Raw genomic sequence first — 25,429 nt, 5'->3', positions numbered from 1 at the left:
TTTTTTCTCAGGGAAATACAGAATAAGGACAAGAGCTGAGATTGAGGAAGGGAAGGGTCTCTCTGTGTGTCCCATGAGGCCTACGCTACCTGCCAGCCCTGGGAAGCCTAACATTGCCACGGCCCCTCCTCCTTCAGGACTGTTTCTTTGCTTCTCCCTTTACTGAAAATCAAGTCTTTATGGGTTGAGTCTTTACCACTTGGTAATTTCCAGAAAGTTCCCTTCTTGCTAATGCCCTTTGCAAATTGCTGCTCTCTACTTTATGAATTAACAGGATTTATGCTTGATGTGGCAGATTTCTTTCTTTCTTTCTTTCTTTCTTTCTTTCTTTCTTTCTTTCTTTCTTTCTTTCTTTCTGTGCTGTCTTTCTTTCTGTGCTGTCTTTCTTTCTGTGCTGTCAAGGCGTGTCTTTAGAGGAAGACTTCATTCAACTTAATAACCCAAGTCAGCCAGTTTTCACGGAATGCCATGGGCCCCACACTTCTAGCCCAGAGTCTCAGCTAACAGCAGGTGCCCCCACCCAGCACCATCACGTTTTTTATGCAGCACAGGTAAATGCCCCCAGGAGCAGCAACTCTCACTGACATTCTCTCCTGCACTTTACCACTCAACCAGCGCATGCCCAGGTCACCTGGGTGTCAGGAACAGTCAAAGTAGCCCCCCATTGTGCTTGGAGGGCCATTGCCTTTGACACAAAAAAAAAAGGAGGAAAAGAAACATAAAGCTGGATGACTGCTCCCCATTTTGCCCCTGGTTGGTTATATTGCAGGGTAGAAGGCTTCACTTTATATTTTAAAGAAAAATAAAACTTTAACTGCTTCCTATATTAAAACCTCTATGACAAATTTAGTCAGAGACTTAAAAAGCACCATTTAAAAAAATAGACTATAGGGATGTGATCCATGTCGGAACCTACTTACCACTGCTGGCTACCATCCAGAAAACATGAAACAGTGTCCAAATTACATTTTTAGAAAAGGCTATCCTTGATAATATATAATATATCCTTTTATTCATTATTGAGACCCAAAGTTTAAGGCATTTGAGAATGTTTCTTTTAAGTAACAGAGCAAGGGGGATGGAGAGAAAGAAAGAGAGAGGAGAAAATGTAAGTTAATCTGTTTGGGGCAAAAGCTTTTTAGAAGCTCTGCAAAGAAAAAATACGAAGATAATAAAATAGCTGTTGGAAAAGAAATTCATTTTGATTGATTATAAATTACTCATTTGCTAATAAAATAGCTACACTGTAGCTGCCATTATGATTGCTACTATTAAAAGGAAATACTTAACTTGTAGGCACTATTATTACCAGTTAAAGGTTTCTGCTTTTTTTCTTAAGTCAAATAACAAAAGCATGGAAGGAGCAAATTAAAGTACCAGAAAAAGGAAAATCCAATTTGTAACTAAATTTTCCACAGGATGATTCTTTTCCCAGCCCCTTACTTCTTCTTCTTCTTCTTCTTCTTTTTTTTTTTTTTTTTTTTTTAGTATGTTTCTTCCACCCAGGTTTGTTCCAAATTAAATTCTGGTTTTTATCCATTTAAATGCAGATTCCTGAAAAGCAAATAATATGACATTAACAAAGAAGAAGAAACCCTGGCCCCGAAATTACCTAGTGAAATTGTCTTTGCTCAGGTGTGCGGGGTATTGGAGGTGTAATAACACTGAATAGAACAACTCCATCATACCTCTCCACGGCTGCTTTAGTGAGAATTGGTTGGATGTTAACTTGGGACTTTACCACGGCAAAGCAAAACCCTGTCAACAAGCACAGGCAGTGTGCAGTTCCCTCACACACACCTTGTGCCATTCAGCGCTGGGTTTTCACTGCCTCTGCAAGAATCTGCCATGCCTGGGGTAGATGTTGGGTGGAGACGTGGAGGTGATTGACAAGTCCCTAATTCCCAGAATTTCACAGTGAAGAAGGGAAGATCGATGTGTGTGCGAATGACCATAAATAGCGATACAAATTTTAAGGGAAATGAGGGTGCAATGAGGGAGAGAGAGATTGTGATGGGCCCCACCGGTGGAGGAGGCACAATTTGAAAAGAGCTTTGAGATGTTACAGGGTCTTTGACAAGCACAGGTGCTCAAGATGGAAATGTAGCCCTTCTGTGATAACTACATTTTCTAACCCTGAGCAGGTGTATATGTGGGGGAAGGGTGCCTAAGGATCTGTCAACTGAAAAATGGTGATGTTCATAAATCAGGCAATTTATTTCTCATAAAGGGCTGCAGCCTGCAGGGTGGCCACCCTGACAGGCTGGGAAGCAGAGCCTCCGGCCAGGCCAGCGCGGGCCAGCCTGACACTGTGAGGAAGGGACAAAGGGAACAGAAATTTATGCTGAGTGGGATGCCCAAATATACGTATTTAATAAGCTCTAGGAAGAGTCATGAATATCTATGGGAGGAGAAACATGCACGTGAGCGTTTTGAGCTTTATGCCCCTTCATGGGTCCCAGATACAAAAAATAGCAGCATTAACATGACCTGAGGGAGGAGTGGGCCCTCTGATGTCAAAAAGTGAAGCAGAGAGCACAAAAACATGTACTGTGGTGCATTCTTCATAGACTAGCCAGAACCATTCCCTGGCCAGTGGTCTCTTACCAGTCAAAAAAGGAGAGGTAGCATCTGGCAGTTTGTCAATATCAGTGGTGGAGTCCTTGGAAAAGACTTGTTTCTGTGAAGCCCTTGGAGAAGAAAGCCTAACTGTGGTTAGTAAGGGAGCGGGTAAAACAAGTGTCTGAGCCTCCATCCACCATGGCAGAGAACTCAGTTTTCAAGGTTACTCTGGGGTTCTCTTGGCTAGGAGATAGTCCATTTGGTCATTTGAGGGGCTTCAAATTTTATTTTTAGTTCACGGATTACTTGATTTAGTAGCCCAATTACATCAAAATTCTATCCCTGTCTCCTCTCTGCGGCCCTTGATCCAGTAGCTATATGGCTGCAGCTATTCCAGACATCATATCTAGACCCAACAGCTGATGAAAAAGAGCTACGGTCTCCTCTGGAAGTGCTTTCTTAGGAGACAGAAACCCCTGGAGATCTTTATCTCATTTCTTATTGTTGAGGCTGGAGTCACATGTCCCCTCCTGAATCAACCCTAGCAACAGGAAATGACATCATTGTCCTCAAACCCAACTGGCTCTTCTGTGGAGCTAGTGGTGGAATCTGCACCTCCTGAGGCAGGAGGCTGAGCAGGGAATGGATAGACACCTGAGCACAATTGAGGCTCTGACTGCAAGGAAGAAAGAGAAAATACGTGTTCTGTTTGCAACCAGTAGTATCTACTAATAGGCAAATTATGACCATTTGACTTGGAAATAGGAATATCCATTCTGTCATTGAGATCAGTGGTTCCCAAATTCAGCTTCCTCTGATTCAGTTCAAGACTCATGACAGAAGATGCTGACTCAGCAGGTCTGAGTGTAACTGAGCACAGCCTCGGCTGCTTGCTGCTTCCAAAGCCAATAACAAGGATGAAGTGCAGTGAAAGGAAAGTGACTTTAGTTCCAAAGCTAGCACTGGGAGTAGGGAAATGGCCAAGGCTCATGCTCTAAAGGAACCACTTCAAAAGTTTGGGCTGAGTACAGGGGTTTAAAAAGGGAACTTTGATATAGGAGGCATGCAGGGGTTGTGTGGGGGTATAGGGGATGTATGTCTTGTTTCAATGCCTATCTTGAGTTATGGTCCACCTGGAGCATAGGCTGGTGCCATCTCAACAATGGACAGCCTTTAGAGTGTCCAATCTTCAAGTGGGGGAGAATTCCACAATGGGGCTTTTACACCTGATTTGTTTCAAATTTGCCCGTGGAATTTCTTAACAAGCATAGAGTTAGATAAATGTGCATGGTATGAGTTTAACAAGCATACAGTTAGATAAATGTGCATGGGGTAAAAGAGTGTATGGTAGAAAAGGGAAGAGAGGGGAATTTCAAAGTAAATTTCAACGCTATGTGTTAAAACTAAGGGAAGAAAAGGTTTCTGTAATTTGCTTCCAGGTTTCATCTTGAGACTAGGGAGAAAGGAGAAAAAGAAGAAGAAAGAAGTTTAAGGATGTGTTTTGAAGCTAACCTTCTGGATTGCATGAGAAGGGCTCAGAAGTCTGCTGCCTGGGTCCATGCTCACTCAAGGGCTTTGTATGCTAACAGAATGATGTGGTGGAATGACTCAGCTCTCCTCACTGCCACTACTAACTGCAACGTGAACTCACTCAGCACACAACATGCATGAGCTGGTCTGTGCAGATACTGCACAGGTGCTGGGGCTGAAGCAGAGGCACTAATGGGCCTGGGTTTCCAGGGAAACTTATGCCCAGTGAGAAGTCCTTAGCCTCAATAAAATGAGATTCTACTAGAAGAGATTTATCAGTCAAGAATGGGTTTGAAAGCAAGTATCAAAAAGCCTGACACCAGTGCTTTGAATACAGAGGGATAGTCCTTATTTTACTTACCCCATAAATGTGGAAGGAGGACATGCAAAGCTGGTGCAGTTAGTCATAAGTGCCATCAAGCACCTGGGCACACTGACATCCAAGTGATCCCATGTAGCCGAGGAAGCATGGTCTCCCAGCAGGGCAGTGCCCAGAGGACAGAGTACAGTCCTTACTTGCCACTGTCCCCAGGGCGGGGCAGTGGGATCCTTTCCGCAGTGGCTATGTCCAGGTCACACCCCACTTCTTATCAACGTCTAAAGGAGCTTGATACCTTGATATTCTACAAACAGCAAAATGGCCAGGAATGTAGAACATCTCACCATGGACTAAAATATATGTAGCTTACTCTAGTATAATATAATATGAATATCAGCATGCATATATATGTGTTTAGGACTATGTATAGTGAGTTCAGTCATTAATTTTATTATGGTTTTAGAGGTTTAAGTTAAAGAAGCTCTCAAGCTATTAATTATATACCCCTACATAGATGTCTGGGCACATACAATAAATCACAACATGATTTTAGAATAAGCCTACCTCCTTCTATAGTAGTAAGGAACAGATTCAATTGCAAGCACAGCAAAACTCCAAATAAAAATAACTTAAATTTAAGACAGAATTTTTTTCTCTCACTCACTTAAACCTGGAAATAGACAGTCCAGATCTGGTATGTTTCCTCTACTTCCTAAAATCCTCAGGGACCCAGACTTGTTCTATTTTGTCACTTTATCAGCTCTGGGCCTTGATCCCAAAGGCGCTGCATGGTCCAATGTGGCTGCTCCAGCTCCAGTCATCGCATCACCAGCTCATTTCAGACAGCAAGAGCAAGGAAAGGAGAATAAGGTAATGCCCTTGTAAACCAAAAGTAACATTCTAAGCCCACCAACCAACTGATGGATCCCTCTCTCAGCTAAGGGCATTCCAAAGTAAACCTGAAAAGGTAGTTCAGGCCATGATGGGCAGTGGGAGTCAGGCATGCATCATTATACCCTCCTCCCTTTGGAATTCAGGCAGAACTGACCAGCATTATCATTAAAAGATATCTTAAGACTGACAAAACAGACTCTTTGTGGCAATAAGATACCAAATTCCAACCTAACTCTAGCATAACATCATATAACACAGAACAGGCCCTGAAAGAAATCACAGTATTTTACCCCAAAATACATTTCTTTGACATATTTTGCAATGGCCCTGCAAAGCTGTCTCTTGTGAAGAAAATGTGCATTCTGTAGAGAATCTCTTTCCCTTTCCAGGTCTTTTCCCTGATCCAGGAAAGAGTTAACCAAGAGTCTGGCCCCTTTTAGATCTGATAAGAGCACTGAAGCCTGCTACCTGGAGGCTTCATCATAAGAACCTTGATCTCCACACCCTCTTATCTTAACCCAGACACTCCTTTCTATTGCTTCCAGATTTTTAGATAATAACTTAACTCTTCCAACCAATTGCGAATCAGAAAATCTTTAAATCCATCTATGACCAGGAAGTCTCCCCTGCCCCCCGACCCCCTTCCCATTTCGAGCCAATGTACACCTTATATGTACTGATTGATGTTTGCCTGTAACTTCGGTTCTCTTAAATGGTACAATCAAGCTGTAAACCAACCACCTTGGGTACATGTTCTCAGGACCTCCTGGGGCTGTGTCATGGGTCATGGTCCTCACATTTGGCTCAGAATAAATCTCTTCAAATATTTTACAGAGTTTGACTCTTTACACTGGTACCCCAGCATTTTAAGGACCCTTTCCAGAAGTTTCCCACTACTCTTGTTGTAGCCCATTGGCTGAAATGCAATCATATAACCACACTAAGCTGTATGGGACAGGAGAGAATTAACTCTGGGTGAAACTGCCATTGCAAAATTATATCTGAGAAGGTGAAAAAGAGATCTGACCTAACCAACTCCATCTTGCTTCTAACCTCCAAGGTGCCCTTATTCATTCCTGGGTGTAGACTCAACTAACTTTGGGAGGAATTTAGTTTATAGTTTATAGCGTAAAACAAAGAAGATAACAGCCCTTTCCCAAAACAAACTCCCTTCTTGGCTCGGGACTAAACTGCCTTTGTAGAACTAACAAATTAGCCAAAAGATTATGGTTTAGGACTCATGCAGCTGGAGACTACAAGATTCTGACCCTTCTCAAATTGTTCCTGGGGATAACATCACTATTGTAAAGCCTCAGATCAGTGCTTGAGATACTTTGCAGATCCTGCACTTGGGGGATCAGCTGGCACCACCCAGGTCAATAAACGGGCTCATCTGATCTTGTGGGACCCTCCCAGGAACTGACTCAGTGTAAGACAGCTTCGACTACCTATGATTTCATCTCTGACCTGACCAGTCAGCACTCCTTACCCACTGGTTGCCCCCTACCCACCAAGTTATTCTTGAAACCGCCAATCCCCGAATGCTCAGGGAGACTGATATGAGTAATAATAAAACTCCCGTCTCCCATACAGCCAGCTCTGTGTGAATTACTCTGTCTCTATGCAATTCATCTGTCTTGATAAATCGGCTATGTCCAGGCAGTGGGCAAAGTGAGCCCGTTGGGCGGTTACATGGGTAGCCATATAGGCCAGGCTAAAATAGACAAGGACAGCTAGCAGGCTCAGCCTTCCCTCCTTGCTGAGGAATCACTGAGACCTCAAGCAAGAAGTGAGAAAGTCCAGTCCAGTCCTTTCAAGATCCTATTTCTCCTCAACCCGGGCCTGTGTCCCAGTGAATCTTCTCTGTGTTCTCTGGGACAAACCTGTCCCTGCAAGTAGGCACTGAAATGATATTTTCCTATATTTTCCAGAGAGAGGGGTGTGGGGGCTGTGGTATTTTTAAGTGACATGTTGCAGCCCCTACTTCACCATTAGAGGCATGCAGATTATAATGGATGGGCTGAGCTGGCTTGAAGGACCCTAGGAAGGGCAGACGCTGGTGACTTCTATTCCTAAATTAGCAGTGTAAAGTCAGTGCAATCCTGCCATTTAAGAGGATTTGCCTTTCTCGGTGCATCTCCCTAAAGTGAAAGCTGCAGGTGCTTATTATCAGGACTTGGCTTCCTGCTTTCGTTCTGTGCATTCTTTCTCTTTGCATAGTTTTAACAGTTGAGAAAGTGACATGGCCTGCTCTGGCATTTGACAGAAAGAGAGCAGATTCTAGGTCAGAGCACTTGAAAACGGCTCTCCCACTTTGCTGAAGCCTTGGGCTGTGACACTTGGCTGGCCCATACAATGAAATATGCCTTAACATCCTGTGAGTTTGATCTTCAATTAGTACCTGTGCATTATGTATCAATTATATGACCTCCTCCTAGCCCTCCCTTAGCTTTCTAGAATTAGCAGGGCAGACCTGGAATTCCACAGGGAACTAAAAAGGACACTGTCGCAAATAAGGAAATAGATCAAATTTCTAAGTTTAGCAGCGACTTCGCCTTCACACAGAGATTCCCAGAACGCCAAGCCTCGGTGCCAGTTTCTGCGGCCCGTGTCCTCTCCTTTGAAGTTCATGTACTACGCATAGCAAGGCTGGCAGCTCACACTATTTGTAGATGGGTGATAGAAACATTACCTATCCCTGCTTCCTTCTTGCTTTCCAACCACGAAATGGGGTGGGCTAGACCTCAGGGAGGCAGCTCCAGGAACTTCACCCCTGGCTCAGTTTCCAGAAATAATTGTAGTGAGCGCCCTAACCCCTCAGGGGCTGCATTCTAAATGGCTCCTAATATGCATGCCTGGGGCACAGATTCAGTCTCCTCCAGGCTGGAGGGGAGTGGAGAGTTCTGAATCCTAGCTCCTGTAAATTGATGTTAAGTTCTGTAAGAAAACCCTTTTTCCTCTCTATAATTTTTACCGGGCAAAGGAAAAACGCCCTAGTCATTCCATAAAGCCTAGATTTCCCCAAGAGATTTAAACTCTGTTTTGTTTGTTTGTTTGTTTTTCAGAGCACAGTTATTATGCTGCTGCATTTCTGTATAGAAATGCCTCACGGATCTATTTCTTGCATTTCCCAGGCTTATATGTTGATTCCCTGAAAACCATATCAAACAACTTTTACTTCAGCTCTTGCCACCAGAATTATTTCTTGGTATGTTAATCAGATTTTCTGAACCCTAAATCACGGCTCATTATCTAATGCATGTTCAGAAAATAAATGACTTAAATTATGACCGACCTTGAAAATCTGGTACATTTAGTTGACAAGTCCCTAGGTCCAGCTAGCCAAGTCCGTGTTTTTGGGTCGTCTGCCCTGTGGCATGAATAATAGCAACATTTATGTGCTTTCTATGTTCCAGGTACTGGGCTAAATGCTTCAAAGACACTCCTCAAAAGGGCTTTGACAGAAATGTTGTTCCTGGCTTGGGAGATGCAGTGCAGAATGGCTTTTCACATGCCATGGCCCATTCCCTTGCCTTCCTCCACCATAATGGAGGAGCAAGGAGAACAGCCTTCCCATCCTTCCTTGCAGCTGGGGATGACCATGTGACAGATTCTGACCAATGAGATACAAGCTGAAGTTTCTTCTCCTCTGGAGAAAATAACAAAGCCTTATTCAGAAGGATTGGTCTTGTCTGCCTTCTACCTGCCTGGAACTCAGACACAAAGCCCAGAGGAGCAGCATGAGGAAGAAAGTTCTTTAGAAAAGGAATTTAGAAAGAACCTGAGTCCTTGATCTCTCTCCTGAGCCATTCCACCAGCCCTGGACTTTAGACCCCCAGACACCTGGTTGTGTGAGATGAATATCATCCTTTTTAGTTAAGTTTGGTAGTTGAATGCTCCGTAACTTACAGCCATGTACTAGCAAATGCATAGCTCTTTGTCATGTAAGTGTCACAGGATCCTTCGGGCGTTGCCTTTCCAACCAGATACCTCTGTGGCCTTTACCCAAGTTTTGCTAGGGCCCACTGGACTCATTCTGCCCACTTAGCTTGGCAGGCTGCACCCAGCTCATGCTACCAGCCCAGATGCCATGCCTGCCAAGGGTGAGCCAGGTGGTGTGGTGCTGCAAGGGGTGTGTGAGTAAATGATCACAGGGTCTGGCCACTGTGCACAGCCAGGCACGTTGGCTGCGGCAGGGAAGGCAGCTCCAGGTGCAGGTGCCTGACTCCCTGAGAGGCTGCAGCTGGACCAGGTGTACCACAAGTGGCTTCCACTGCAGGCACTGGGGAACAGAGTGGCACCCGCAAGCTTGGAGATGCCAGGAACTGCAGAGCCCCAAAGAGGGTATTACAGCCCTGGCTCGGGGAGCTCCTAGGTCTGGGCTCCCCAAGGGGCTGCAGCTCTTCTCTCCTTCTCTCCCTTTTGCCCACAACATGGTGAGCAGGGGGTGTGTTTCAGCCCTGTTGTGTTGTTGTGTTACAGCTCTCTCAGTCCCGCCATTCAGCAGGTCATAAGTTCTTGTCTGACATCCAAGAAGAATGAGGTGTGCAGAGAACTGTACTGTGAGCAAGGTGAAGAAGTGCTTTATTGAATGACAGTACAGCTCTCAGGTGACCCAAAGTGGGTAGCTCCTATCTGCAGGCAGCTCATCCCGACAAGTGTGCAGCCCTCAGCAGAGAAGAGACCTGGAGTGGGTAGCTCCTTTCCTCAGGCAAGTCATCACAATGAGTGCAGCCCTCAGCAGATCAGCAGAGAGGAGACCCACAGTGGGTAGCTCCTATCTGCAGGCAGGTTGTCCCGACATCTCCCTGAGTCTGACTGAGTCCAGCTGAGTCCAAGGATTTTTATGGGTTCAGAAGGGAGAAAGTGCATGCTGATTGGTCTGTGGGTGGCCCAGAAAAAGCACCAGAGGTTTTCATTCCCGACTGTGGACTCCACATGGAATTGGCAGCCTAGCCCCCAGGCTTCAGGCCCTCCCTGTTTGAAGGTGGGCTTCACCAGAGACCTGCCCTTTTCTGCCCAGAAACCTGTCTGCCTCCTGCCACCATCTACATGTCACCCATGGTGCCCAGGCTGTTCATGCTGAGGAGTGCCTGCAGGCCCACACAAAACCACCCTCAACACCCCCTCGGCCTCCCTCCTGTGCTCCTCAGTGCCCAAAGTCCAGAGGGGGCTGAGGCAGCTGGGAGCTGGTGTATCAGCACTACCTCAAGTGCACACACACCTGGTCAGTGGTGACAGCACCCAGGCTCAGCCACAACTTTGCTCCAAAATTGGAGTGGGCGCCGGGAGTGGGGAGAGGCCAAGCAGTAGGAGCAGGCACTTCCAAGCCTGCGGGAGCAGGGGGCCTTCCCGGGTGCCCCAGAGCACAGGGATGCCCAGGTCCACAGCTGCAGCTGGGAGGCTGCAGCTATGCCCAGGAGGGTGAGGCTCCCACCCCTTCAACTCAGAAGAGGGCATGGCTCCCACCTGTTGCTGGCTCTGGATGGCTCCATGGAGTGCGCAGCCCTAGCTGTGCCTCCCCCATTGCAACCAGCGTCTTCACAGCGGCCACCCCAGATGGGCCACCCCTGCCATGATAAGGAGTCTAGGGCAACATAGGTTATGTCAGATAGGTTATGTCACTTGTTCAGTGCCACTCAGCCTACCAGTGGTAATGCTGGTGTACACTGAAGAAAATGACTTAGGTAAGTCTCAATCAGTTTAGAGGTTCATTTTGCCAAGGTTGGGAATGCGCCCAGGAAATGGAGACACAAGCCGCAGACAGTAGGACCTATGGCCTGCATTTTTTCCAAAGAGGAGTTTCAGGGCTTTAATATTTAAAGGGTAAAAAGTTGGCAGGAGAGGAAAGGAGGAAAGACAAAAAAGAGGGAGAGGATGGTCACATTCTTGTGAGATTTCGATTAGTGCTCACTGAATCTGCATATTGCATGTGAAAAGGAGAGGGTAAAGAAATAGTCAGTTATGCATTTGTCTCGTGCTCAGTAAATCTGTACTTTACATAGGATAAAGTCAACAGAGCAGAAGTAGAAGTTAAATATGAATTTGTCTTGGAGAGGGTGGTGTGGGAGATGATTTCCAGTCTCCTCTTGTCCCATGTCCATGAAGATAAGCTGTTAATTCACACTGTCAAGGTGAGGGAGGCCACCTGGAGAGACATGTGTCCTTTTATCTTGTAGCTGTCTATTTAGAAACAAAAGACCGATTTTTTGTGTGACTCAGCTTCCAAGCTTTCCTTTTCCCTTTGGTGTATTGAGTTTGGGGTCCCGGAATTTTATTTTCTTTTCACACTGACATCTGGGTGTGTCCAACGCCAGCATCTGCGCCTGAACAGCATGCTCTCTGCCTCTGTAAGAACTAGAAATCTGGAGTTATCAGGGGCGCAGAACACTTCTGCAGTCACTTCACCTGTTCTCTCTCGGTTTCCCAAGTAGTCCTGTAAGTTCAACTTCCCGTAAAGAAATCTGGTCCAGAATCTCATCAGGGTTGGCTGGGCTTACCTCCCTGTCTGTGTGAGCCTGGAAAGGCACATGCCCCAGTCCCAGCTAGGCCTAGGTGGGGCAGCCTCCCTGGTGTCTTTACCAGCCCTGTGGCATACACTTGTATATGGCCTTTCATGTAAATGTCTCTTTTCTAAAGGAGAACCCAGTTTTAGGTTCCCTTAAAAGAATTCTTAGCATGTTTCTAAAAACGCTTCAGGAATCCAGAGGGCAGCTGAACCCTTACTGATGATCTTCCTATGCCCCTGGAGTGAGCTGGCATATCCAGACCCACAGGGCCTTGTCTTTCCGGGCCTCATTAGGTAACTGGGCTGAGAGGCCCAACCCTTGGGGCTTCCTAACCTGTGAAGCTGGTCACCCAGTATTTACAACAGGAGGGTGGTGAGGCACCAGTTCTCAGTAATACAGAGTCTTCACTATGTGGACTCTCTGGAGAATATTTCAAAGCGTAATAGTAAGAGGAAATGCTCTTCTCCAGAGAAATCAGATAAATTTTATCTCATGAACACTGGGACTCATGAAATAGGTTATTGATGGGGTTCAGGACATGCTACCCCAGAATATGGCACCTTGGCATTTGAGGGAACAGCAGAAGCAGGAAAGTCCCTCTCACTGTCCCTCAACCCTTCTTCCCTGATGGATGTCATAAAACCCAGGAAAACCACTCTTCGACTTTCTCCTGCCCTTCTCCCCTGGAGGAGGTCAGAAAACCTTCATTTGAGAAGTGCCTTCCTTATACCCAGAGAAAAGGAACATCCTTATTTGTGAAGACACAGGGCTAGAGATGAGTCGGAACAAATAGGCCTTGCTAAGTTGTCCCTAGTTATCACCATTAGGTCATCTCCTTTGTCCAATTATACTTCTCCACAACTGTTCATTCTTTTTCAAAACTAAATATAAAAATAGACAAGTTCACCTGTTTCTTTGGATCTTCATTTCTGAAGGTTTCAATGTCATGAAAAACTTAAATACATTTGTATGCTTTTGTATTGTTAATCTGTCTTTTGTTATAGCCATGAACCTAACAATGGAAGAGGAAAAGAAATCTTTCTTCCCTGACATTATATATTCCTGATGTGACCTGCCTTAAAAAAACAAAACAAAACAAAACCCGGTAGCCAATTAGTATTTCACTTTAACAATTCTTTCTGCCCTATTTTCCTTTTATTATAATTTATTTGTAAAATTCTGTTATACATATATTTTTGGAGGCCACCTGAAATCTTTTCATGGGGAGGAGAATGGTATGTAAATAAATAAAAATTCACTCACCCAAGGACTTCACTGACTGCTCCTATCAGATGCTCCTTTTTCCATTGCCAACTTTCCTCAAACTTGGGATGGTCCCCTGGGACCACCCAAAATCTAATGGGTAGTGACAGCTTGTCCATCGCTCATACAGACTAAAAAAACCAACATCAGCTGAGAGTCCTCCTAGAAGAAGACATACGAGGCCTCCTGTCAAAAAGAAAGATGGACACAAGGTTTCTCAAATGTAATTAACTGTTTTGACAGGCAATTATTTTCCTCGTTCAATCTAACTGAAACATTCAGAGCCTGGCAGTCAGGGTTCCCAGGTCAGCATTTTTTCTTTTATCAGTGGGGTGCCTTTCTGACACCTGGTGACTCCAGCCACTGGGGTGAGGCGATTAGAATGGAGCTGGCAAGTTGTACCAGACAGGATTGCTGCAGTCTGAACCCTGAAGAGGCCAGCAGCATCACCACCTTTGCCAGGTAGGCCTGCCATTGAAGTACATTTTCAGAATGTATGCTTGTGACCCTGAGATTTTAATAGTGGATCTATATGTTAAATGGGGAAAAATAAAGAATAGAAATCTTGATCCAGTTATCATTATTGATTATTTCAAGAGTATCTCAACTTTCCGTTGATAATGGGAACCCAGTTCTTCCCACTATAATGATATTGCAGGCATTCTCTCTGCTTTTTTTCTTCCATGTGGTGGTTATTTAGGGACAAATGCTTTTAATCGTATTTTAAGATGCAATTTGTATTTCAGATTGATAAAACTCACCTTCAAGATGAAATATTGCTGAGAAACACTCCTTTTTCTTGGGCCAAACTTATTTTTACTTTCAATACTACGGTGGATTGTGCAAATGGTCATCAAGTCGTCTCCTCCCTGTTATCCACACCCTTGCACATAGCTTTGTAGCTCCTCCCATCCATAGGTGAAGTCTTCCTCCATCCCTATGTCTGGGTTGTCTGCTTGACCTTCTTTGGCCAATGGAACAGTAGAAAATGGGATGTAAGCCGAAACTGGGGAAGCACGTGTCCACTGGAACTTGTCCTATTGCTGTACTTGGAACCTTCCTGCACCACATGAGTCAGCCCAAGCTAGCCTACTGGATGAAGGTTGTCATGAATGTAGTCCCTTCATTCCTGTTGCTGGCCTATGGCAGCCCATGTGCAGAAACACAGCCTACAAGCTGAATGGTAGCAGACCACAGACATGTAAAGTGAGCCCAGCCAAGGTCAGCAAACAACCAGCCAGCTGAGCCCAACCCAAATTGGTAATCCACATTATGAGCTAATAGATGGCTATTGTTTAAACTACTAAGTTTTGGCATAGTTTATTACATAGAAAAAATTAACTGATTAAGATATCCGGCCTCGTGCATGGAAAGGAAAATTCCGGCAAGAATTTCTTAACCCCATGCTAAAGGATAGTCAGATAAGCCCTTGTCATTCAGGGGCTTATCTGATAGCACAGTGACTTAGAAGAGTTTTCATATTGGCTTTCAGTTCTGAACAAGTGCATACGATCTTTTGGGCTGGTTTACATTTTCTTTGGTGCAAAATTACATGTGACTGCAGTCTTCTTTAGCTCACATTAGTCCAAGAACTTATGGCAGAGACTGCTAATTTTCCTCCAGTATCCACTCTTCCCTTTGCAAAGACTGGAGCCAGACTGTCTGGTGATTCAAATCTCATTTCATTACTTATTACCTATGTAAACTTGGGCAAGTTATTCATGTCTCTGTGTCTGCCTTTCCTCATTTGTTAAATAGGAATAATAATGTATCTCCCTTGTAACATTGTTGTGATGATTAAAGGAGATAAAACAGAAAAAGCTAGCTATTTCACAGTAATTGATGTCTAAAAAATTCGATGATGTGAAATACAGGCCCATGTTTTTGCAAGGTTAATGAAATGACAGGGGTGAGAATGTGCAGAGAGCTGGCTGAGATTCCAAGTGACAGGGCTGTACAGTATAAATTCCTTCCTGTCCTGGCCACAATTTACCATTATGTGATGCCATCTGATAGCTCTATATCTTACATTTTAATGGGGACATTTAGGGTCCTGTGGATGGCTACATTTTTCAGGGTAGTAGCAGCAATTTAGAATCTTCCACTTAATTGGTGACTGTGTCATCAGCCTGATCCAGAGATATTGAGCAGGGATTATTTTATTTATTTATTTATTTATTTATTTATTTATTTATTTATTTATTTATTTGAGACAGAGTCTCACTCTGTCACCCAGACTGGAGTGCGATCTCAATTGACTGCAATCTCCACCTCCCGGGTTCAAGCAATTCTCCTGTCTCAGCCTCCTGAGTAGCTGGAATTACAGGCACATGCCACAATCCCCGGCTAATTTTTTGTATTTTTAGTAGAGATGGGGCTTCTCCGTGTTAGCCCGGATGGTCTTGATCTCCTGACCTCGTGACCCGCCTGCCTCAGCCTCCCAAAGTGCTGGGATTACAGGCGTGAGCCACCGCACCCTGCCGAGCAGGGATAATTTTAAGAATGCCAGGATTTGACCTCTGATCCCTGACTTCCAGAAATGGGGCTGACTACTATTTCCCTACTTAATCTATACCCCCTTCATGCCCTTACGAAAAAGGACAAATTCCTTTCTTCCCCCTTCACATATTCTAGTCCACGGTCTAATAGTGAACTACCTTCACCCATGCCGATGAGGGCTAACACCTTGAGAAATGGAAGACAAAGAAGATAAGAGGAGCTTGGGTCCCTGTGGAGCCTCGCAGAGCAAAGAGGAACTTTGCACCACCTATCAGTTTGGACTTTTACATGAGAGAAGTAAATCTCCATCTTATTTAAGCCATTGTTATTTTCATCTTTGTCAGCCAAACCAATATCCTAACACAGTACTGCTCTTATAACTAATGTCAGTTTTTTGAGTAAGTAGGGAGGCTAGATGCATTAGCTTTCTATTGCTGCTGTAATAATTTACCATACCTTAGTGGCTTAAAACAACTCACATTTATTATCTTTCAACTCTTGAGGGCAGAGGTCCTAAAATCAAGGCATTGACAGAGCTATGGTTCTCCTGGGACTTTAGGGGAGGAATCTGTTCCCTTGCCTTTTCCAGCTTGCAGAGGCTGCTCACATTCCTTGGCTCATGGCCCCTTCTCACATTGGTAAAGCCAGCAATGCCAGGTTGGGTACTCTCATCACATCACTCCAACTTTACTCCCATCATCACAGATCCCTCTGACCCTCCTCTTTTGCCTCCTTCTTCCATTTATATGAACTCTTGTGACTACATTGGGCCCACTCAGATAGTACAGAATAATCCCCCCATCTCAGGGTCATCAGATCCATAATTTTAGCTACATCTGCAGCCTTCATTCTCCTTTGCCATATCACCTAACAGATTCACTGATTCCAGGATGGGACATCTTTGGGGACCAGTATACTGTCTATCACTCTGAACAAACCATGCCCTTGTTCTGAGAACCACTTCTTCCTCATGTGCACTGAAGCCTGGAATTTTAATGTTGGAGAGCTATTCCTTTTTGTTAAAGTACTCTGAGGGAGATACGACTGAGCCTTTGAGACCCTTCAATTATTTAGCTCCTGTAATTCCGACTTTCATATTCTAAGGTAAATGAAAGAGAATTACAACCTGTACAAGTAAGTATAGATGAACTCGTATCTTCCTCCAAGATTCATAACCCTTCAGCCCCGGGACTTGTAGAGCTTATTTTTGTTTGTTGAGACTGTTGCAAGCTATTTACAAACTATGAGTCTTCAGCTCTCTTGAGCTAATATTAGGATTCAGGTCACATAACTGTCCACAGAAAGACACAAATTGAACCATGTTGCTTCTATTGAAATCCTAAGAATTCTAACTGCATTTTTTTAAAAAACTTTCTTTTACTATTTTTTTCTTAATTTCATGATAGGTATTAACTGCATCTTAAAACCTATAGTGTTTGCAAGTGAGACTGTTATTGTGAAAGAAGCATGCACTTTTGGGGCTAATAGATCTAAGTTGAAATCCCATCTCTATGATTCATTATTTGTGCAATCTTTTTCCAGTTATTTCAGCCTTCTCAACCTCAGTTTCTTCATCTGTAACATGTGTTTTTTACATACATTGTAGGGTGGTTCTGAGGACTATAGATAATATTTTAAAAACACTTCTAGTAGTTCATGTTTAGTAAGTAGTCGTGATTATTTATCCTCCAAGTATATATGCGCACTCAACAGAGTAGGCCCATCTTCCAAGCTGGCCTCTGTGAGGAATACAAAAGGTACAGAAGACACCTGCCATGTGAGGCAGTTGGGGCACTGTGATAAGAATTATCAATTAAAGCAAAAAAAAAAAAAAAGGGAGGCATATGATCTTGATCAGTTTTTTTTTTTTCTGGGCTTTAATGTCCTAATCTAAAAAATAACAACTAGATTAGATAAACCACAATGTTTCCTCCAGCAACGACTTTCCGTTGTGCTAAGAAGCACCCTCACTGTTGGTACGTATGACTAATCCATGAAATAAATAGGAATTTAACCAACTGAAAATGCTAGCTATGTAGGAAACCTCAGAGGCACAAGCCAAGAATGAAAAGTTGATCTGTCTAGTGCTAACCTCATAGCTGGAGCTGAGGACCTTGCAAATGACTTAACTGTCATTCAACCACATCACTTTTAGTGCCTCCTTTGGACTTGCACTGTATCCTGGGGCCAAAAGGCACTGTGAACTGGAACAAAATGGTAGGCAGCTGATTTAAGGAGAAATTGCACACAAAACACATAGGAGGCCGTCGCTTCAGCCACAAAAGTGCACCAAAGGGAAGCATTTAATACTGCCAACTGAGTGTGGAGCTAAATTATAGCCACTGGAATGCCATCGGTGCTGAGTTAGTCATCCAACACTAATGAAAATCTTCCATTTGTTCACAATATTTTCTGATATCTTTCGCTTTTTGTCCTTCTCTTTAGGAAATAATAGGACATTTTCAACTTGAGTGCTGTTGTATTTGAGGTTTTCTTTTAATGTACAATTTTCTACCAGATCACAGCAAGAGTAAATTATATGTCAACCAATGATTTCATAACAAAGGTAATTTCCATTTGATGAAAGGAACAAAAGGTGGCAATGTAGTCAAGAACATCCTTTTATGCAAAGTGACGGGCTCAAGTACAAAGCTTAGGAGGATCAAGCCCAGAAACAGCTACAAGAGACAGGCTGTGAATTTGAGGCTGCCTATAGTGACAGCTCCCTGAGAGGATGAGAAGGGCCAGGAAGAGGAACCTGGGGAGGCTGACCGACATTTCTTTGTGTAAGTACTAATGGGAAAGCTAGCAAACTCAAACTCCATGGAAAATAAGAGTCCATGCCTGATATACACAAATACAGAAGAGGTTGTCATACATGTGGAATTTCAACAGTTTGAGAATGCAGAGCGCTTAGTTGATAGAGATGCACAATAAACGTTAGCTGGCAAATAGTCCCTGTTTATTGAGTCAACCCAGTTGTGTTTTCTCTCAGTGTCCCATTGGGAGGCCCTGGAATCAGAAATTACCTGCCCAGCTGGGCGTGGTGGCTCACGCCTGTAATCCCAACACTTTGGGAGGCTGAGGCAGGCAGATCACTTGAGGTCAGGAGTTCAAGATCAGCCTGGCCAACATGGTGAAACCCTGTCTCTACTAAAAATACAAAAATTAGCTGGGCATGGCCGGGCACGGTGGCTCATTCCTGCAATCCCAGCAATTTGGGAGGCTGAGGTGGGTGGATCACGAGGTCAGGAGATCGAGACCATCCTGGTTAACACGGTGAAACCCCATCTCTACTAAAAACACAAAAAATTAGCCTGGTGTGGTGGCGGGCGCCTGTAGTCCCAGGTACTCGGGAGGCTGAGGCAGGAGAATGGCATGAACCTGGAGGCAGAGCTTGCAGTGAGCCGAGATTGCGCCACTGCACTCCAGCCTGGTCAACAGAGCAAGACTCCGTCTTAAAAAAAAAAAAAGAAAAAATTAGTTGGCCATGGTGGCAGGGGCCTGTAATCCCAGCTACTCAGGAGGCTGAGACACAACACAAGAATCGGTTGAACCAGGGGACAGAAGTTGCAGTGAGCCGAGATGGCACCACGCCACTCCAGCCTGGGCGACAGAGCAAGACCCTATCTCAAAAAAAAAAAAAAAGAAAAAGAAAAAGAAAAAGAAAAAGAAAAAAAGAAAGAAAGAAAAAAAGAAATTACCTGCCCAATATCTGGACAAAAATTTTGGAAAATAGGGAAACATCGCTTTTCAGAGTTTTGGCTAAGATCAATTGGAAAATAGGGAAACAAAGCAGCTTTTATGATTTTCCTTCTACATTTCATTCTCTATCTCTTATGGCAGCCAAAGATGGAGAGTTGATTAGAAACTATTTCTGAAGGGAAGATTAGCCTAAGAATTAAGTATAGAAACAACCTATATTTTCTTGGCTCTGGGCTTTTGCCTCTTCTATGACCCAAGTTATCCTTTTTCATTTTTACTGAAGTGTTTCCAAAAGGAGGTTTAGAAGCAGCTTAGCACATTTTAGAGTTTACATTGAAAATAATCACGTTTTCTTTTCGAGTTAGCAATGCCATTAGATTGTTGTAGGAGCAGAAAGCTTATAGCTTGCCCAAGGTTGTCATGAATCAACCAAATCGGCCTTTCGATTTCTAGCTTCTTCTTTCCCAGGTCCAACGGGGTACATTTTACAATGAAGTAATCATCTTTTTTGAGGCTATGTTTCTATTGAAACTTTAGATTATCTATGTGATTATAATTGTTCAAAAACTCTTAAAGAAAGATACACTTGGATAAGAGTGAAATCACATTTCGAAGATTTCCTTTGCACAGAGTCAATCACCAATAAATGTTTATTCAATGAAATAAAATTAGAAAGGAGAGCAAGAGAAAGCAAAGAAAATAAAGAAGAAGGAAGGAAAAGGGAGGGAAGGATAACGGGAGGGAGAAAGGAATAGAGGGAAGGAGGGAAGAACTAAGGAAACTGGGGTATTACCTCCCTAAATACAACCGTTTCTAATTACTGTTCAAAGTCATTTTAAGTAGCTTTAGTACTAAAGCCTTGTTCACTCCTTACCTGCAGCTATCCAAAAAGAAAGCACTGATTTTCCCTGCATGCCTTCCTTATTCACCTCCTTTCTTATCCTGTGCTCTTGATTATTATGAGCTGGGGTATGGGGAGAGGGCCATGCAAGTAGGGTTGCCAGATAAAATATAAGACAATGAGTTCAATTTGAACTTCTGATCAACAACAAATACTTTTTTTTAGCATAAGTTGACCCCAAATATTACATGGGGGCATATTTATACTAAAAAAGTATCTGCCAATTTTTTTTTTTTTTTTTTTGAGACAGAGTCTTGTTATGTCGCCCAGGCTGGAGTGCAGTGGCACGATCTCGGCTCACTGAAACCTCCGCCTCCTGGGTTCAAATGATTCTCCTGCCTCAGCCTCCCGAGTAGCTGGGATGACAGGCACGTGCCACCATTCCCAGCTAATTTTTTGTATTCTTAGTAGAGACGGGGTTTCACCATGTTGGTCAGGCTGGTATTGAATTCCTAGCCTCAGGTAATCCACCCACCTTGGCCTCCCAAAGTGCTGGGATTACAGGTGTGAGCCACTGTGCCCGGCCTCTGCCATTTATTGGAAATTCAAACTGAACTGGGCATCCTGTGTTTGGATTTACTGTCTGGCAGCTCTGCTTTCAGGCTTTGCACTTCATGCGGCTGCAGTCAGGGTCGCCCTTGAGATTCTCATCTGGAGCTTTTGGGCGGTCAGCGCCCAACCCTCAGACTCTGAAGGGGCTCCCCACATCCCCTGAGGTTCTGCAACCCTGGCAAAGTTTCTTCCAATCTGGGGAAAGAATCTTTCCTTTCTACCACCCTGCTTTTCCTGCAGAATTTCCTGCCCTTTAAAATTAGCATTTGTATATGAGTTGCATCTCATTAAATTACATAATGATACACATAAATCATCACGGCTGGACTTTTTTTTAACGTCGTGCTTTTTGTTTCTCTCCCCCATAATCTGAATTGGAACACACAAATAAAGGTGTTTGGGCCTTTAAAGAAATATAGAGTGTCTCCTTTCTGGTGTCTTTCCACTTGGAGGTGCCTAGCAGCTCTCTGCTCTACCCTGCAGCAGCCTCTAAGGATAGTTTCCACACAGCCCAAAACACCCGTAGTTGCATAGCCTCAAAACGAGAGGAGAGAGTATCATACTCAGAGGCCCCCATGCTCTTAACTCCCGTGTGGAGGGCTGGACCAGAGCCTGCAAGACAACTAGGCTCATCACTTTGCTGTCTTAGAGGGAATGAATTATTGAGACATTTCATTGCTTTTTGCCAACTTAATGTCTACATAACCTACTCATTAAAAATAACAAGATTGAAACAGTCAATAATTTGGTAACATTTAGGAATCAAGAACTACACGCACATGCACACGCACACACCCACAGACATATATGCATCTGTATGACTTGCTTCTGAGATGGTTCTTTCAACAGACAAAGAGATGATAAGAACTTGAGGAAGCCACACAGCACCCTGCAGAGGGACACTCGGGTGTGGACGATATCCACAAAGTTACAGTCACTGGCACGTAGGGAATTCTTGACAATAAAAATTAGAGATGATTAAATGAAATGGTTTAGTGATGATGTCTTTGCAAATGGTGATGCAGAAAAAGCAGATATCCTTGAGCTCTATCATAGCAAGTGCTGAGTCAGCCTGGAGAGAATCAGAAAAGTAGATGGAGCCCATCTGAGATGTCCCTGGAGCCAATCCCCCGAGTGAACTACTAACAAGAGAAGTGTTAGGAGGCAGAGAAGGAGGCTGTGCGGAAGAAAGAGCAGCACAACCTCCACAGTGGGGAGCCAGTCTAGACCACAGCGAGGGGAGTGGGGAGGGCATGGCTTCACTGCACTTTGCCCCACCAGCCACACAGGATAGGTGGCCTTTGCTATAGTCACTAAACTTTGGCTGGTGCAAGACAAACCAAGGTGCTAGAGGGAAGAGAGTGACACCTGTAGAGTGATCCGAGGCTTGGGAGGCCAACCCACATCCACCTTTTGGATCTACTACTTCCTAGCACTGAATGAAATCTGCAGGGTAGTTGAAGGGAACTGGTGAAATAAAAGTGACAGACAACAAACAAATAAAACCTGTTGGCATCCATTCAGTCAGAGGAGCCAGGTTTCCAAACTTAAGAATGATTTGGAGGAAAAAGAGCATCCAGAGAGAGAGAAGCTGGTAAGCAGAGCTCTGTGGTTTCAAGCTCTTTGTCCTCGGACAATGTTGCTTAACTTGCAAAGCCTCGGAATCCTCACTTGCCAACAAGCTGATGAGGCTGACAACCTGCTTATTGGGAAGATTGAGTGAGGTCATGAAAGTAAAGCCCTTAGCTTACTTAGTGCCTGGCCTCTAGGAAACTCTGAGCAAAGGGGATTATGATTATGATTGTTACATAACCTAGCTGGGGCAGGGCCCTTCATTTCCCATCTCCATGCAGGTAATTTAGTACTCTGTGGGAAACTATCAGGTAGAGCATTGTGCAAGTTACACATTGATTCATTGAGCTGAAAATGGGGCTGAAGTCCAGCCAACCCACCCCTCTCCCAGGGTTTGTCATTTTCCCAGAGGGGCATCATTTTCTCAGTTTGCACAATGGCATTACATGGGTTAGTGGAGGCCCTGGAATGAGGGCAGACTTGACCACTGCATAATGCTTTTTTGGGAGAGGAATATGTTTTTACCCCCAAGCCCAGCCAAGGTTCTCTAGAATAAAGATGACTATGAGTGCTTATCCTCTTCCTTGGTGCCTCTGGCTTTATCAGTCTCCCTGGCATGGCTGTGACCTCCTATTACACCCTCAGGATCACAAATACCCAGGTGACTACAATGGAGGTAATTCAAAATGGTCAATCTCCAAGCAGAGGTTGTAACTTGGACAAATGTAGTTGTCCCCTTATGCCACATGACAGCAGGAACCCACCACAGACTGAGTTCAGAATGGAGGGCACTCCTTGAATCTGTCTCTCTTTCTTTTTTCCATGTTACATTCTTTTACTTTTCTTTTCTTTTTTAGAGACAGTCTCACTCTGTCACCCAGGCTGGAGTGCAATGACACAATCAAGGCTCACTGCAGCCTTGAACTCCTGGGCTCAAGCGATCCTCCTGTATCAGCCTCCTGAGTAGCTTGGATTACAGCGCATCACCATGCCCGGCTAATTTTTTTAATTTTTGGTAGAGACAGAGGTCTCGCTATGTTGCCCAGACTGGTCTCAAACTCCTGGTCTGAAGCAGTCCTCCCTAGCTTCCTAAAGCCCTAGGATTACAGGCATGAACCACCAAGCCCAGGCAACTACATCCTTTTTTCTACAGCCCTTTCTTTCAAGTCCCTGAGGCTAGTGGCTTCAGCCCTTCCCTCAGCAAATTCCACTCTTTCCTAAAAGTTGGGGGGGATTCTGAAGCTCATTCCAAAGCCCTGAGCCCCAGGCTTGATCCACATAATTCTCTCCCCTTTCAGGCATTCTGTACTAGGAGAGGGAGAGGGAGAGGAAGAAGGGTCTAGTCTTAGGAGTTGGAGCAAAGGTACCAATTCTTTTCAAATCTGCCTCCTGACCAGCGAGTCTGGAGGCTGATTTTCTTACCAGTCTAAGAAGCCAGCACATGCCACCAAGGCCTGCATTAATTCTCTCTGGGAGAGAGCACAGTCTAATTTCACAGTGGGGAAAGAATGCTTCTGTAATTCTTGTAGATGGGACCTTGCCCCTTGTGAAACAAAGACCCCAGCATTATTGGGCTAAGAAGCACTTGACTCTTTCCCAGAACTGGCTTCCACTCCGAGAGAGTGCATTAGCTGAAATGACTTTCTATCTTTTTGCCATCCTGGCTGAGTGGCTCTGGGCTCATAAGAGATGATATGTTTTTAATTCCATAATATTCTTCCTAGTTGATGAGTTTTTAATTTTTTTCAATCTAGCTTACTCTACTGCTATGATTAACAACAGTCTGTTGCTAGCCTACAGTCTATATACTGAGATTGCCCAGAAAGAATTAAAATTCTTCTTTGCCCAACAGTATTATAGTGATCACCCCAGGTAAGGGGTCTTAGGTTCCATTTGTAAAATAGAGCAGAAAACTACCTCCTTTCCATCTTTCACGACATCAACTCATGAGGATGAGTAGATGGAGATTTAGGGAATCCTTAGAAGGCAATGGACATGTAAAGAATTATGGTGATTAAGCTAAAACAAGCATGAAGAACATGTACTCCACTCATGTGATGTTATTAATGACACACCAGTAGAGCAGTGGCTGGGCCAATGTATGTGCTCACAGATGAATCAGGTCTGACTTTATAACAATTTTGCAGAGAGACCTGGAATGCAGTGTATGTTGGATGAGGAGAGGAAGCTTCCTCAGGGGTTAGAGGGTGTCATTGTGGTAGACTGCTACTTCAGGGATTCCAGTGAGCCCACATTCCAATAATCTTACCTCTATAGAGCTTCCTCCCACCCAGACTGTCACTAGCTTTGGCCAATGGGTGTCAGGAAGCACATAACAAGCCAAGCCTTGAGTTCACCTATTCTGCTGTAAGGAAGCCTGGATCATCATGTGGAGAAGGCTGCGTGGAGAAACACCCAAGCCTTTGGCCATGGCCCCACCTCAGCTCCCAGATGGTGGCTGCTGGCTCATGCTGGGCTGGGGCCATGCGTCTCTGTCCCAGTACCCTAGTGGATATCACATGGGGCAGAACTGCCTGGTCAACTCGTACAGTCATGAGAAATGTAAGTGGTTGTTTTAGGGTGGGCTTTTTTTGTTTTTTTCTGAAGTTATCGATGACTGAAGCACTCTTCTAATTCAATTCAATTACTATTTCTTCAGTGTTTACTTTGTGCAAGGCATGACTCTAGGAACTGCATGCCAACTCCCAGCAGAGGTGCCAGGCAATGAAGAACAGACAAAAATAGGGAAATATGGAGGGCTCAGATGGAGTGCCACCTAAGTCCCTGGCCCATCTAAAGGAGCAGATACAATGACCAGCCGAAGCCTCAAAGATAAAGATCTGCAGCTACAAATGGGCCATTTCTTGGGCATCAAACTAGAAGTAGAAGCAGTTTTAAAGTGGGAGCAAAGCCCAAGGCAGGGTGTTAACACCAGAATTTAAGGATAATTTTAAGGAAACTTGATGAGGCTGACAGGAGAGTCAGTCAAGATGCACACCCCTAGTGAGGCAATGTGAGCTCAGCATTGACCAGGACATCTGAGAAGCCTAAAGCTGCTTGGACTCAAGTTGTAGCTTCCTTTTGGCCATTGCTATGCTGGTGCAGCTGCACTGGGCAACGTTT

The 25,429-nt window shown here is 44.3% G+C and overlaps 1 long non-coding RNA gene across 5 annotated transcripts in view; it reads right to left on the bottom strand.

The window, feature by feature from the left end:
• Nucleotides 1-1,464: 1,464 nt before the first annotated feature.
• Nucleotides 1,465-25,429, bottom strand: part of LOC101927711 (uncharacterized) — a 92,142-nt gene continuing 68,177 nt past the window's right edge. For 2 of the 5 annotated variants that reach the window (XR_949278.3, XR_247101.4), the window contains 2 exons: nt 13,078-13,263; nt 11,279-11,662 (listed from right to left, as the gene is read on the bottom strand). This is a non-coding gene — a long non-coding RNA (uncharacterized LOC101927711). Of the gene's footprint in view, nt 1,555-4,453; nt 4,716-11,278; nt 11,663-13,077; nt 13,264-25,429 lie in introns of those variants that run through there. The other 3 variants (XR_949279.4, XR_949280.3, XR_949281.3) reach the window with 3 other exon arrangements.

Source organism: Homo sapiens, chromosome 1, assembly GCF_000001405.40.
Source record: "Homo sapiens chromosome 1, GRCh38.p14 Primary Assembly".
Taxonomy (NCBI): Eukaryota; Metazoa; Chordata; class Mammalia; order Primates; family Hominidae; genus Homo; species Homo sapiens.
This window is presented reverse-complemented; position numbering and strand designations above follow the sequence as displayed.